At 37.5% G+C, this 15,258-nt stretch overlaps 1 protein-coding gene across 15 annotated transcripts in view; it reads left to right on the top strand.

Annotated features, from left to right (window-relative positions):
* ZNF385B (zinc finger protein 385B) overlaps window positions 1-15,258 on the top strand; it is a 419,631-nt gene that overhangs the window by 137,359 nt on the left and 267,014 nt on the right. The window contains exon 2 of one of the 15 annotated variants that reach the window (NM_001352815.1): window positions 4,160-4,391. The exons of the other annotated variants lie outside the window; for them this stretch is intronic. The gene's annotated coding sequence lies outside the window, so the exon portion shown is untranslated. The remainder of the gene's footprint in view (window positions 1-4,159; window positions 4,392-15,258) is intronic. 15 annotated transcript variants of the gene reach the window in all.

Raw genomic sequence — 15,258 nt, 5'->3', positions numbered from 1 at the left:
CACTGCAAACTTCACCTCCCAGGTTCAAGAGATTCTCCTGCCTTGGCCTCCTAAGTAGCTGGGATTGCAGGCGCCCGCCACCATGCCCGGTGAATTTTTGTATTTTTCGTAGAGATGGGGTTTCACCATATTGATCAGGCTGGTCTTGAACTCCTGACCTCAAGTGATCTGCCTGCGTTGGCCTCCCAAAGTGCTGTGATTACAGGCGTGAGCCACTGTGCCCCACCCAATGCCTTTAAATTGCTTCTTTTAATTTTCACTAACATAAGATTGTACTAATTGGTAATACTAGAATATACTAGTTTTTATATGATGTATGAGCAGTGACATTTGTGAGTCCTTGATTTTACTACTTTATTGTTTTGGTCCCAATTGATAACCAAGCAAAGAAACTTAGCCTAATTAGTATGTTAAGAATGTAGAGTATTTTTAAATGAAAAATATATAATATTTTCAGAAAGTATATAAAAACTTACGTAGCTTTGAAAAATTAGGCATCAATGTATCTAGCCCCTTATTCAAAAATAAAACCTTAACCTCAGATAACCCTTGCTTCTTCCTTAGTTCCCAGAAGTAATTCCTGTCTGGAATTGTGTGTTAATTATTCTCTTGCTTTTCTTTAGTTTACCACTAAATATGCGTGTTTTAAAATATATTTAGTTTTTGCCTACTGTCACATACTCATCCATAATATAATTTTTAAGATTCATACTTTTTGATGTGTAGCTGTATTTCATTCATTTTGAATGCTTATTTAGTACGGCAAAAACCGCAATTACTTTTGCATCAACCTAATATATTTTGTATATCCTACATTTCAATTTATTTATATATTCTACTGATAATCCACATTTTGGTTATTACCTTTCTTAATTTAATTAGAAGCAATACTGGTTTGAACATTCACGTATATACATATGTACAGCTTTCTCTGAGTTATATAATTATACTCTGAGGGCATATAATCTCCAGGAAGTGAGTTTCAGGTTTAAGAGATGTGCATGTTCAACTTGAAATTTTTTTTTCTGTTTTATGCTATAGCCCCAGAATACTGCCAGATGCATTGTAAATAGTCAATTATTATATATTAAGTGAATGAATGAATGCCAAAGTATTTCCCTAAGTTATAGTATCAGTTTACACTCTGACCAGCAGCAGATGATCAGTCTATTGTGTCACATCCTCTGCAACACTTGAGACTGTCTGACTTTTTAAAATTGTTGACAATCTGGTGGTTGTGAAATGCTATCTCATTGGGGATTTAATTTGCATATCCCTGGTAACTAATGAGGCTGAGCATCTTTTCATGTTTTTTGGCCATTTGTGTTTCCTCTTTGGTGAAATTCCTATTCATATCATGTGACCATTTTAATAGAATCACTAATTTAAAAAAATTATTTGTAGTAGTCATATAGTAGAGCTAATTCTTTTTCAGTTTTCTATGTTGCAGATAAATTCTCACGTGGAATGGCTTGGGTTTTTATTATTTTTGGTGACTCTTAGTAAAATTAATCTTTAATTTTAATATAATCAAGTATTTTTATTGCTTTTATGAATTGTGCTTTTTAATACTCCATTTAAGAAGTGTTTCTCTACCTTGAGATTATATGGATCCCAAATATATTAATCTACAATTGCTATAATTTGGCTTTAAATCTTGAATTTACCAGTAACTGTTTTTGTGCAGTCAATTTTATGCATTTTTCTTTCTTCTGTATAGATAACCAGTTGTTCCAGAGTCATTTAGTGAATAGTTTCTTCTTCCCCTCTGGCTTTCAGTATTCACTGTACCAAAAACCAAGTTTCTGTGTATGTGCAAGTTTCTTTTTATACTCTATTCCATTCCATTGAATTGTTTGTCTCTACACCAATGTCATAATATGTTAATATCTGTGAATGTATAAAAATTCTTCACAGCTGACTGAGCAAAGCACTACACATTGTTTTTCTTCTTTAGGAATGATATCTATCTTGGCCATTTGCTTTTCCATGCAAATGTTGAGTCTTTTTATCTAAGTGCATGGTTTACTTCTCCATAAATTTATATCTTCCTTAAAATCTTCATATGTGTTTTATAACTTTCTTCAAAAATGGCTCACACATCTCGTTATATATACTTCTAGGTATTTTACATGCTCTGCTGCTATTTTAAGTGATATCTTTTTATAACATCTGTTTACTAATTGATCATTGTTAATACATAGAGAGGCAATTGACTTTGTTTATTTGTATTCATCTTGTTAAATTGTCCAATAATTCTAATATTTATCTTTAGACTATTTTATATTGTATATAAATATAAATCATGTAATCTACAAATGTTAAGTGTCTTTGTTTCATCTTCTCTATTTCTTAGACCTTGTATTGTTTTTTGTTTGTTTGTTTTTGTCTTATTCCACTGGCCACAACCTTTAGCAACTTAAATGGAAATGGTCAAAGTATGCATTATTGCCTTTATTCTTTACTTTATAGGGAATACTTTCAAGTTTCATCAATAGGTATGAGTTTTTTTAATAGCTATCCTATAAATATTATGAAATTTTCTTACTAGTATACTAACAATTTTTGTTATAAAAAATATTGCATTTTATTAAATACTTTTTCTCTCTTTATTGAAATAATTGTATGGTTTTACATATATTTAGTTCACAATATTTAATTTTTAATCCATTGCTGAATTCAGTGTGCTGATGATTTTGTTCAACCTGTTATGAGGAAGAATGAAATAATTTCTTGTATTTTGCTGATATGGTTTTGTTATAGTATGTAATAGCCTGATAAGTAAGTTAAGAAATATGTCTTCCTTTTTCATTCTTTGGATGAAAATTTGTGAGATTGAATTTATTCCTTAAAAGATTAGAAAAACTCACCTTTATAACCAATCTTACATAAATGATTTGGGTTTTCTAGTTCTACTTGAGTCAATTTTGGTTAAGTTGTATTTTCCTCAGAATGTTTTCATTGCGTTTATGTTTTCCACATTGTATTATAAATTTATTAATTATAGCCCTTAATAGCCAACTTAAAATTTTGAAACATCTCTATGTTTTTCTTTTCATTGCTAACATTGTTGATTTGTGTATTCCTTTGTAATGTATTGAAATTTTATCATTACTTACCTTTTCATCTGTAGTAATTCCTTGGCCTTAAAGTCTATTTGGGACATTAATATAGTTACTTCAAGGGGCTGGGCATAGTGGCTCATTTCTGTAGTCCCAGTGCTTTGGGAGGCTGAAGTGGGGGGATCACTTAAGGCTAGGTGTTTGAGATAAGCTTGGGCAACATACCAGGACCTTGTCTCTCCAAAAAAAAAAAAAAAAAAAAAAAACAGCCAGGCATGGTGGCACACAACTGTAGTCACAGCTACTTGGGAGGCTGAGGCAGGAGTATCACTTGAGCCCAGGAATTCAAGGTTATAGTAAGTGTGATTACATCACTGCATTCCAGCCTGGGTGTCAGAGCAAACTCTGTAATAATAATAATAAAACTACTTAAAGGTTCTTTGGTATTTTCTTTTATATTTCTTATAAAGAGCATATAACTTTGTTATGCTTTTATGTTTTATATTTAACCTAATATTTATTTTGAATTGAATCCAAATAGTTGAGTCCATTTATGCTGATAGAGATAATTGATATGCTTGGATTTCTCTTCTACCATCTTATGTGTTTTCTCTTTCCCTTCTTTCCTCCCTCCCTCTCCTCCCCTTGCCTCCCCTCCCATTCCCTCCTCTCCTCCTCCCTTTCTTCCCCTCCCCTCCTTCTCTCCCCTCATCCCTGCTCTCCTTTCCTCTCCCCTCCCCTCCCCTCTCCCCTGCTCTCCTTTCCTTTCCCCTCCCCTCCTCCCCTCCCCTCTCCCCTGCTCTCTTTTCCTCTACTCCTTTTTCATGCTTTTGGATGGAATACCCTGTGTCTGTTCTTAAAATTTCATTTCAGCTTTCTACATGTTTGGAAATTTTTATTCTAAATGTATTCTTTTGGTGGTTACTCCAGATATTTTAATTTCAGGCTATTTCTCCCAAAAATTAGGCATTATTATCACTATTTTAAATTGTTGATATGTTTTTGGATTTACCCTTTGAGAGAAGGCATTATTGAGCCTAAATCTGTTTTGCATGAGATGACCGTCGCTTTACCCTCTCCCAATGTTGTTTCCTTAGGAACATACTTATTTAAGATAAGTTTGGAACATTAGCTCTGTTCAATACTGTTTACTGTGAAAACAACTCCTGATTTGGACTGAAAGAACTGTTAATTAACATACAGACCTGGGAGCTCATCTGATTACGAATATATGAAAATCTGTTGAAGAAAACATAACCTCAGCTTCCTTGGATGGTTCCCTCTTAACTGAGTGTATACCTTGCGGGGACTTGGAAAATACATTCACAGGTAATTAGAAGATATGGTCCCCTTCATGTATGAAACTTCCTTATGTAGAGTAGCCTGCATATATTTGTGAGATCTCATTTCTTAAAATTCACTTGAGCATATTTTTATAGGATCAGGAAAGCAATAGCTAGGCTGCTGCAAGAACATCTATTGAAGATGTATTTGATGCAATCATGTTAACATGCTGTTCCCACTGCTGTTATCTTTCTTAGTAAACCTGGTGGCAGTTAAAATCTATTATTTCCTGTATGAAAGTTAGTCTGAATCCAAACCACTGCTGGTCATACCAAGTGGGCAATGCAGCCCGTATATTTGCCAATAGCTTTGGTTTTCCCTTCTTGAAGCTCAGATGTTAGTAAGCTAGTATTTCCTTGTCCTTCGTCTGCCGTTATAGCCTCTGGGGAAAACATAGTGTAAAATGTCAGCTTACAAAGAGGGAGCATGATGTATTTGTAATGGATATATAATGAAAGAGGAGGTGGAGAAACTACACCTTTCACCTGGGTGCAGGGAGCACTGAAAGTGACAGGTAAAGTTAAAGGTGGCAAGGGGTTCATAGGTATTGTGATTGCCTCCTCTCCAGCTTGGTCGGCTCATGCAATAGGAATGGTCATCTTAAATAGGTTAGTAGGAAAGCCAGAAAACAATGGATGTTTACCCTGGATGTCCTTTGAAACCTGGGGTGGGCTCATGGGTGGAGGCAGGAAGGGGAGACTTACTAGACTAGGTTGTCCATGGGCAACATATAGAAACTTAGGAGACTGAAAATGGTGGCATGGTATGGTTAGGAGGGCGAGACATGCAGAAGTTCCTGGCAGTTCATGATAAGCTGGCTTGTGAGGAGGATTTCTGAGGAAGATCAGGTAGATTATAGAAAAAAAAAATATATATACACACACACACACACACACAGAGTTTTAAAGTGTGAGTAGATTTGTAATCTTCACATTATCTTCTCCTTCTGCTGTCTGCTTCTATGAGTGATTACCTTTAAAATGAAAATAGAAATTTGGCTTTTGGGTTTTTTTTTTTTAATAGATACAGGGTCTCACTATGTTGACCAGGCTGTTCTCGAACTCCTAGCCTCTTCTCTAGGTCTACCAAAGTGCTGTGATTACAGGCATGAGGCACCACATTTGGCTGAAAATAGAAATTTGTAAAGAAATGATATATGTAGAAGGAGTCATTTAAAAGCCAGGCATTCATAATTCTCAATGTTTAATTTGATAATTTAGTGTGTACTGAACTGTAAAAGTAGTACATTTAAGTATAGCTCAAAGTACAGATGTTAGAATCGTCCTATACTGGAAGAAATATATATATCTCTCTCTCTTTATGATAATATATATAATATATAATGATTATATATAATATATAAAGATATATATGATTATATGTCTTTGATCATAAAGTAAGGAATATGCTGGAAGAAATATATATATCTTTATGATAATAAATGATTATATGTAGGATTATAATATATAATATATAAGATAAAAAGATATAAATGATTATATATATATCTTTATGATAATATATATCATTGATTATAAAGTAAGCAAAACACTTTTAAGACCCAGTATTTAAAATTCTCACTATTGATGTGTCAACATGCGTGTGGATAAATAAAATCTTAGATAAATGCTTTCTACATTAAAGAACAATATCCTTTGCAATAGTAGTAAAGATTATTCTTAAGAAATACTGATGCTTCATATCATATTCTATTTAAAATATTGGTAGAATAATGAAGTCTCATTAATTCAGGATTTACTAAATGAGATATTATGAATGTCATTGGCTCAGCATAGCATAAACATTAGGCTACCTAATGAGAAACCTGTTTGCCAAGAAATTTAGTAGCAAAAATGTCTTCGGATGACAATATTAATTTATGTAAGGAAAAGTCACTTTCAAGGATTCTGATACATTTATGCAAGTAATAACAGCTAATAAACAACATATGATGTAATAACAAATAATTACATACAACGTAATAACAAATTATATATGATGTCCTATGCTTTTCGCTTTCCTCATCCTCATAATTGTTTTTGTAGGTATAATGAGAGGTAGGAAACAACTCAGAAACAGTTGAAACTATCATGAGAAGGTTTTTGTTTGTTTATTTGTTTGAGACAGGGTCTCACTCTGTCACCCAGGCAGGAGGGCCATGGCATGACCACAGCTCACTGCAGCGTCAAGCTCCTGGGCTCAGTTGATCCTCCACCTCTTAATAGCTGGGACTACAGGCGTGTACCACCTAGCCTGGCTAGCTTCTAAAAAATAATTTATAGAAACAGGGTCTCACTATGTTGCCCAGACTGGTCTCAAACTCCGGGGCTCAAGTAATCCTCCCACCTTGGCATCCCAAAATGTTAGGATTACAGGCATGAGCCACTGTGCCCAGCCATACTTTCTTATTCTCTCTTTCTGTCTCTCCCTCTCTCCCTCCCTCTCTCCACCTATCCATCTATCTTGGCAGAACAAGGTAGAAGTGCTGCCATTAAGCAGGGGAAAATATTTACATAAAATCTAAAGAAAATTGGTGTCTATCTCCTCAAAAGATTAAGCTTTAGAATGTGTATATTTGTTTGACTTTGTTACCTTCATGGAAGCCAAAAATGGAAACTTTCTTGCTATGAGAAAATAAGCAGTCACTTGGAAATAATTTTTGATTTCTCATTTTATATAAACATTTCTACTTTTGTTCTAATTTTTTTTTGAATATTCATTTTGAGGGCCTAAACATTTAAACAGTTTTTTCCCAGTTACCATTGCTGCATAACAGAGTACCGCAAAACTTGGTAGCTTAATGTGCAGCAGTCATTTAATTATATCTCAGAGTATCTGTGGGTTGGTAATTCAAGAAAAATTCAACAAAAATTCAGCTGGGCAGTTCAGACTCAGAGGCTGACATATGGTTATAGGTAGGCAGTAGCTGGTGCTAGAACAGCTGGAAACAAGCTGGATGTCTCTCTGTTTTGCTCAGGTTGTCTCAGCTATGTGGTCTCTTCATACAGGCTAGTGTGGGTTTCCTTACTGCATGGTGGCCTTAGGAGAATCTGATTGTTGATACGGTGGCTCAGGGGTCCAAGCCAAAGTGTTTCAGCTTATATCTCAGCTTCATCACCTTTAATGACCTAGCCTCAGAAAGACATTCACTGCCACTTTTACCACATTCTGTTGGTTAAAAGCAACTTGCCAATTCACCCAGAATAAAAAAGAGAGGAATTAGACTACCTTTTAGAATTGAAGGTTCTAGAAGAGACTGTGGAATAAAAGGGACAAGATATCTTTGGAATATACTGTTTGCTACACAATTTTTAAGTAAATCAGATACATAATTTATATGCAACATTTTTATGAACATAATCTAACTCAAGTTTTTTTAGTGCCTCTAAAGCATTTTCCCAAGAAAATATGGAAACTGTCTAGATTACCCTGTAATAGAACTACAACAGAAAATGGAAAATAGGTCAGGGATTACACATAGATTTATAAGCATGTAAGATTTATTGAAGACATATTTCTTCACAACTGAGATTTTAAGAATGAAAAAATATGACCTACTCTATTATGAAAACCATTATTTAAGCCAAAATGAGAATTTCATGATGCCTCTCCTCTTACTTAAACCTTTTCTCTGGGCCTATTTGTCACTAGAGCATTGACTGGCTCAGTTCTTTAGATGAATTTGGTAAGGATAAAAAAAATAGTGACTGATGTCTCCAAATGCAACTCCTCAAAAGCAAGAAGATAAACACAACCCATTGAACTTAACAAAATCATGTGTTTGCTAGGATTGATGGAGTGTTAGACAAAATGTTTGAGGTGGTCCTTATTATGCCTTGCATTGCATTATGTAGCTATTATGGGCCATGGAATTCAACGATATTGAAAAGCAGACAAAATACAGGCATAAATTATTTAAATGGGCATACCACTCCCACATTTTTAATGAAAGGAAGAATAAAAGCAAAATTTAACAATATATATTTATTCATGATGGGTATTTATCATTACTTTATGATGGGTAAATAATGAATAGTCATTTACCCATCATAAAGTAAAACTTAATATTTATTTAACATTATTTAATAGTTTAATATTTATTTATGATGGGCATTTATCATTATTTTATAATGGGTAAATATTAATTTACCCTTATAAAGTAAAAGGGTATTTTGCATATATCAACCTTAATTTAGTATTTTATCACACAGGGCAAAGAAATTGTGTTCATATGTCCTAGATTTTATTACATGTTCACTGCAGTAGACTCTGAACTTATTATAAATATCGAGGTATGGGATATTCATTAGCATACATTCTTAACTCATGGAACCAGCTGTAAATGTTATTTTTGGTCCCAGTGCTTTCTCAGTAAATCCCTTTTTCTGGAGTTACCTACAATCCTCATGCAAACACACTTCTAATATTATGATTGTGGTTTGTGGTTGTTTACTCTGTATATGACATCTTAGACATTTAGACTAAAGAGCAAATATCTGGAAGTTAAGAAATCAGAGGTGGGGTATGGACTCTGGGATTATCAGTGGTTCCAAGTGAGATGTGAATTTGGAAGTCATCACCTATGGTGGTGGGACATGGGCAGTTTGGGGGAGGGTTCAAGTAGTACTAAGAGTATAGGATTTGGCATGAGCTGTTATCACATAAAAGTTATCCTTATTCTCCTGAGAGTTAGAATTAGGTTATTTGTGAGTGAGTGAGGTTATTTGTCTTAATGGCTTGCATGTGTATAGATGTGTTTAATTTTGTCAGCAATAACAGATGACTTGGATGTGCATGGTTTGGGGGTAGGTATAAACAGGAAAATTTTTGACAGATATGGGAGACAAAACTGCCAGCATTAGAACAGTTCTACATTCAGGAAACTGTTTTTTTTTTTTTTTTTTTGAGATAGAATCTCGCTTTGTTACCCAGGCTGGAGTGCAGTGGTGCTGTTCAGCCCACAGCAACCTCTACCTCCCGGGCTCAAATGTGCCTCAGCCTGCTGAGTAGCTGGGATTACAGGCAAGTGCCACCACATCTGGCTAATTTTTTTTTTGTAGTTTTAGTAGAGATAGGTTTTCACCATGTTGGCCAGGTTGGTCTGGAATTCCTGACCTCAGGTGATCCGCCCGCCTCCCCCTCCCAAAGTGCTGGGATTACAGGCGTGAGCCACCACGCCTGGGCAGGAAATTCTTTTTAAAAGCATGAAGATTTAAGGTTTGGGAAGGATCATAGATGTTGTCCTAAATTTTAACCTTCCTAAGGGTGATTCTTCTGGCTGTTACCCTAACCTTTTAACAGCCATAGCTTTTGACCCCACAGCCTTTTTATTGTTGTATAATACAACACTTGCCCAGATCTGCCTTTCCTAACCTATCTCCTTTGTTAAGGAGGCATTGCATGGTTGAAAATAAAGCTGACTGCTGGGTGTAAATCCTAGCTCTACCACCTACTTATTGGATATTCTTCGATAAGTAACTTAAGAGCTCTTTGCCTCAGTTGCCATGTACATAAAATGGGAATAACAATAGTCCTTGCTTATGAAGGTATCATGGAATTAACTGAGATAATGTTGCTGGAATAACAGACGTTGGCACATGTACTCAATAAATATTAACTCTGGTCATTGTTATTGTTATTATTTGTAGTGGTATTATTCCAGCCCCTTACTTTTTCCATGGTCCTTCCTATTCCTCCTCCTATGCCTTAGACTTTCTAAGTAGCTCAGTTCTTCATAGGTTTGTCTGACTGGGCATGGCTCTCTGCAGGGCAGAGTAAACTGACTTGGCATTTTGCTTGACTTTCCAACATTCAAATGTTTACCACTGTACCCATTTTGCTTAGAACCTTTCCTGACATGATAAGTATTTATCAAGGAATATTATTTTATGATATCTATTCTGGAGGCTAGATTATTAAGAAAATTAGTATGTCCTAACCTTATATAGGGCAAAAATAGGGGACTGGAATTACAAGAAAATTCTTACACTGTGAGTGGACCAATATAAAGATTTATGAGTTAAGCAGGAAACACACAGCTCAGTGTTTTAGATAACACTTAGGATTCATCTAATCCCATTCCTTACCCAACTAGAGGCTTTTATAACATGCATTTATTCAGTCAATCATTAATACTTATTAAGAACCTATTTTGTGCCAAGCCTTATGTTAGGCGGTGAAGATACATGGTAAGTAAAGCAGATTTGGACCTTGCCCTGATGGAGCTTACAGTGAAATGGGTGCAGCCAATATTAATCAAATAATCATGCAATTATGTGATAGGTACTGTGAAGAAAGCACCTAGGGAAAAATTAGAATAAATAGCAGGGAGAATGAGTCTAGGTTACAGGGAGAGGGAATAGTTATAGTGGTCAGAGAGGAAATTAGCTGAGATTGAAGATTAAATAGGAGCTAACTAGTTGAAAAAAGAAATACGCATTCTAAGGAGAAGGAGAAAGTGTGATGATGTATTTGAAGAACTAAAGAAGACCATCGTGGCTGGAGCCGAGAGAGAGGAACAGGAGTCAGAAATGATGTAGGAGAGGTAAATATAGGTAAGAACTAAATCCATTTCATCCAATGCATTTATCCTATTTTCCACTCTTGAAAATATAAATGTTCCTTGATTTAGGATGAGGTTGCATCCCCAAAAACCCATCTTAGGTGAAAATATTGTAAGTTGAAAATGCATTTAATACACCTAACTTACTGAACATCATATCTTAGCCTAGACTACCTTAAATATGCGCAGAACACTTTTATTAGCCTACAGTTGGGTAAAATCATCTGGCAACACAGTCCACTGTGGAGTGTGGGTTGTTTACCCTCCTGATCACGTGGTTGACTGGATGCTGTGGCTCACTGCTGTTGCCCAGCCTCACGAAAGGGTATAGTGCTGCATATTACTAGCCCAGAAAAAGATCAGAAGTCAAAATTTGAAGTATGACTTTTATTGAACGTGATTCACTTTTACACCATAACAAAGTCTAAATATTGTGTTAATAAGCCAAACCATTATAAGTTGAGGACTGTCTACACAATGGATTGAAGGGAGGGCAAGAAAAGTTAGTAGGAGACTATTAGGAGAGATGCTTCTCAAATTTTAATGTTCCTATAAAGCATCTGGGGGTCTTGTTAAAGTGCAAATTCTGATTTAGTACATCAGATACGAAGCCTGAGAATCTGCCTTTCTAACAAGCCCTCAGTGATGCTGGCGATTCTTGTCCTGAGATTTCACTCTGAGCAATGAGTACCTGGATGAAACTACACTAGTGGTGGTGGAGATGGAAAGGGACAGATTCAAGACAGATTAGAGAAACAAAAGCAACAGAGCCTATTGAAGAAGAAGATGAGAGCCATGGTGAAAAGAGGAGATATCAAGGACGGTGTCTGTATTTCGGGCTTATACAACTGGCTGTGGATAGTGCTACTCACTCCAGAATGCTTAGGGAGTTTAACATATTCTGTTTCGTGCATGAACAAGGAGGCTAGTAGTAGGGTAGAATTCTTGAGAAAAGTGGAAATGGTTTGAAGTTGCTACCAGGGAGTATTGAAGAGAACATGGATTAAGAAAATGTAGAAAGTTTACTATGAAATTTTGAAGATTGGGGATTGGAGACTAGAAATCATAGTATTATCAGTGGGAGAAAGCATAATTTTATCCAACAAAACTTAGCAACCCAGAAGTAGAGAATGTAATAGTTGAATTAGTGTAAGATTTAAATTTTTCTGTGAATGTTGACCAAAGATAGTGTATCATTAGAGTTATCCATGTTAATGAGTGTCATGCCAGAACCTATTGACTTCAATAGGGATGGCACCATGTTTGAGAGGCCAAAGAAGGGACCCAGAGCCGGCAACCAAAACACAGAGTTTATCGAGGGGACTTACATACATGGCAGTCCAGTGGCAGTAGGCCGAACAGAACTGCTACCATTTGTAAAAAAAAAAAAAAAAAAAAAAAAAATGCAGTTTATATAGCATTTTTGCAGTAGGCTGAACAGAACTGCTACTGCTTGTTAAAAAAAATGCAGTTTATATAGCATTTTTGCAGTAGGGAACAGAACTGCTACCACTTATTTAAAAAAATGCAGTTTATATACCATTTTCACTTAGCATCCTCCCCCTAGCAACCTCTACCTGGCAACCTTCATTTAACCCAAAACAAAGGGCCTTGATTCCCTCTATAGCCTGTGTTCCATGGGATGGGCCGGGATTTAGATGTTCCTGATAAATAAGGAATGAATCTCTGGGTTGGCCACTCCCAGATTCTTTAGCTTGGATTCTGAACACACATTCTTTTTATACCATGGAGTCATTCTCCGCATATGCTTAAGTTAAACTCTTGCTATCAGGTACATCTGCCGTACATTCCACCCCAGCATACCCTCGAATGGACCTCACATTCTTTTCATGTCATTCTTCCACTATTTCCCTGGGGCCAGGTATATAAAGAGGAGCATTGCAGTCAGACATTGCAGCAGCAATACAAACTACAACAACAGAAAAAAATAACGTATATAATAATAGTCTTAGAAAGTTTTGTCAAGTGTTGGGGAATTGATTAAACCACATGGTTATAGGGCTGCAAGACAGAGATTCTATAGCAGGAATATGTATACCTAGGGCCTGCATGGCTTGGGTTACATTGCGAGAGTAAATCAGTGATAGATATATCACATTTGGTGTTAATTATTGCTCAGGTTCCACCTGGGCGGCAGTTAAGATGTCCAGGGCCATGTGATTTTGCTAAGAATGGTGCACATCCCACTACCTGTATCTGCTCTGCCATTATCCACCCTGTCCCATCATGTACAGCCTACCCCACAGTGGGGGTAACATTAACTTGCTTCCATACTAGGAGGAAAATATGTTGTCTCATCTTGTTGATGGTGGGAAACTCACTACACGAGGTGCAATTGTCACTAAAGGGAAATAGATGAGGGTCATTATACTAAGTACAGAAGTGGCTCCAGGTACTCAGGTGAGGTGCTTGGAGCAGGCCTGTGATGGAAGAGAGTGGCAGCTCTCTGCAGTCACAACAGTCTGTTTGTTATAGGGAGAGACCAGCATCTGTGCTCAGTCGGTGAAGAGGTTTGCTGCACACCACACCGTCTATGGGTGGACGGGGAGATGTTTAGTGGGTACAAGAAAGGGCAAGTCATGGCCATTTAACAAGACACAAGAAGTTCTGTCATTTTGAGACCAACACCACTGGTAGCAGCCTGGTGCCTGGATTACAATACCAAATGGACTGGCCCCCGCTCTTCAGCACATGGTAGGAGGACAGAATAAGACAATGGAAGTATTAAAATGTTCCGTAATGGGAGGATGACAGTCCTCTTGCACAAGGGAGGACTAACATTCATTATTTTAATCGTACGACGGGGAGTAGGATGTAAAATAGATGTGATCTGTATATTCTGTTCTAGGCCCTTCCTCCATGGAGTGGAAGTACCATACGATTGGGGAATGGTTTGCTATTTCCAGGGCCATTTAATGATGTGCTCCTGGGTAGGTAGTCCTGTGGCAAGGGCAATAGAGGTTTCCTTGAGTCCCAGGTTGGGGCAAAGGTATACTGTCCCTCAAACTGTCTACCTGGATCCCAAGGGTGGCATCTAGTCCTTGTGTCAGGAGAGTGTAAGCGCTGGGGTGATGAGACATGCATGTTCATCCAGGGTACAAGTAGCTGCTGGTAAGTGGCATGTCCATCCACAGAGCCAGAGAACACATCTTCTCCGGAGTCGTTGCATCAACAGTCCGTTCATCCATTCAATCAGCCCCACTGCTGTAGGATTGTGTGGCAGGTGGAAATGTCAGTGAATATCCAGGGCCTCCATCCATTCCTGCACTTTGTGTCTGGTAAAGTGTGAGCCCTGGTTACTGTTGAAATCCGTGGGGATGCCGTAGGTCACACACAGCTGCACTAGTCCTACTATGGTACTTTTCTGTGTGGCATGCTTGCTGGGATATGCCTGCAGTAGCTCTGTGCAGGTGTACACACAAGTCAAGGCATAGCAATCAGGTAGAGGCAAAGGTTCTAGGTAGTCTCCCTGCCACTGTTGCACTGGGCTCTGGCCCCAAGTGATCTGTGCCTATCATGTGGCAAGGGCCTGGAGGCCTCCCTGTGCACAAGTAGAACATTACTGTCAGACACCTACTATGTTTTTATTTAGTAGTAGCAGGCCCCAGTTCTTCACTGTGGCTCAAAGGGTACATTGTCCCCAGTGTCATCTTATGTAGCCAATGGGCCACGTCTTCTGTGGGAACTTCCTCAAGAAGACATATGCAGGCTAGCTCATCTGCCTGTTGATTTCCAGGTGGTGTAGATGCAGTGTGGGCATCCTCATGGTAGACTGTTATATGCATGCCCTGGATATAATGGGGAATGTCCTTCCATGTGTCAGCACCCCAAAGGGGGTGCCCTACTACCATTCAGTTTTACAATCCTGAGCTTCCTATTGCAGTGGCCACCTGGTGAGTCCCTTAAAGGAGGCCTATACCTTACCCATAATGGCAGACAGAACAACATTAGTCTTACTGACCAAGTGAAACAGCAAGGTGGGGGCTGCAGTTTGTAAGCTGGAAAAAGACTCAGAAGTTAGCATGATGTCATCAGTGTAACAGAAACACATACCCGCTCAGGGTGGTTCATCCGCTGAGATCTGTGGCCACTAGGCTAAGACAGATAGTAGGGACTATGTAAATATTCCTGGGGCAAGATGATAAAGGTTCATTGTTCTCCTTCCCAGGTGAATGCAAATTGGTCTTCACTCTCTGGGGCAAGGGGGATGCTGAAGAAGGCATTGGCTAAATCTACAACAAAATGGTATGTGCCAAACGCCTCTCTTAT

The sequence above is a fragment of the Homo sapiens genome, chromosome 2 (genome assembly GCF_000001405.40).
Source record: "Homo sapiens chromosome 2, GRCh38.p14 Primary Assembly".
Classification (NCBI taxonomy): Eukaryota; Metazoa; Chordata; class Mammalia; order Primates; family Hominidae; genus Homo; species Homo sapiens.
Note: the sequence above shows the minus strand (reverse complement) of the source record. Positions and strands in the feature narration are given on the sequence as shown.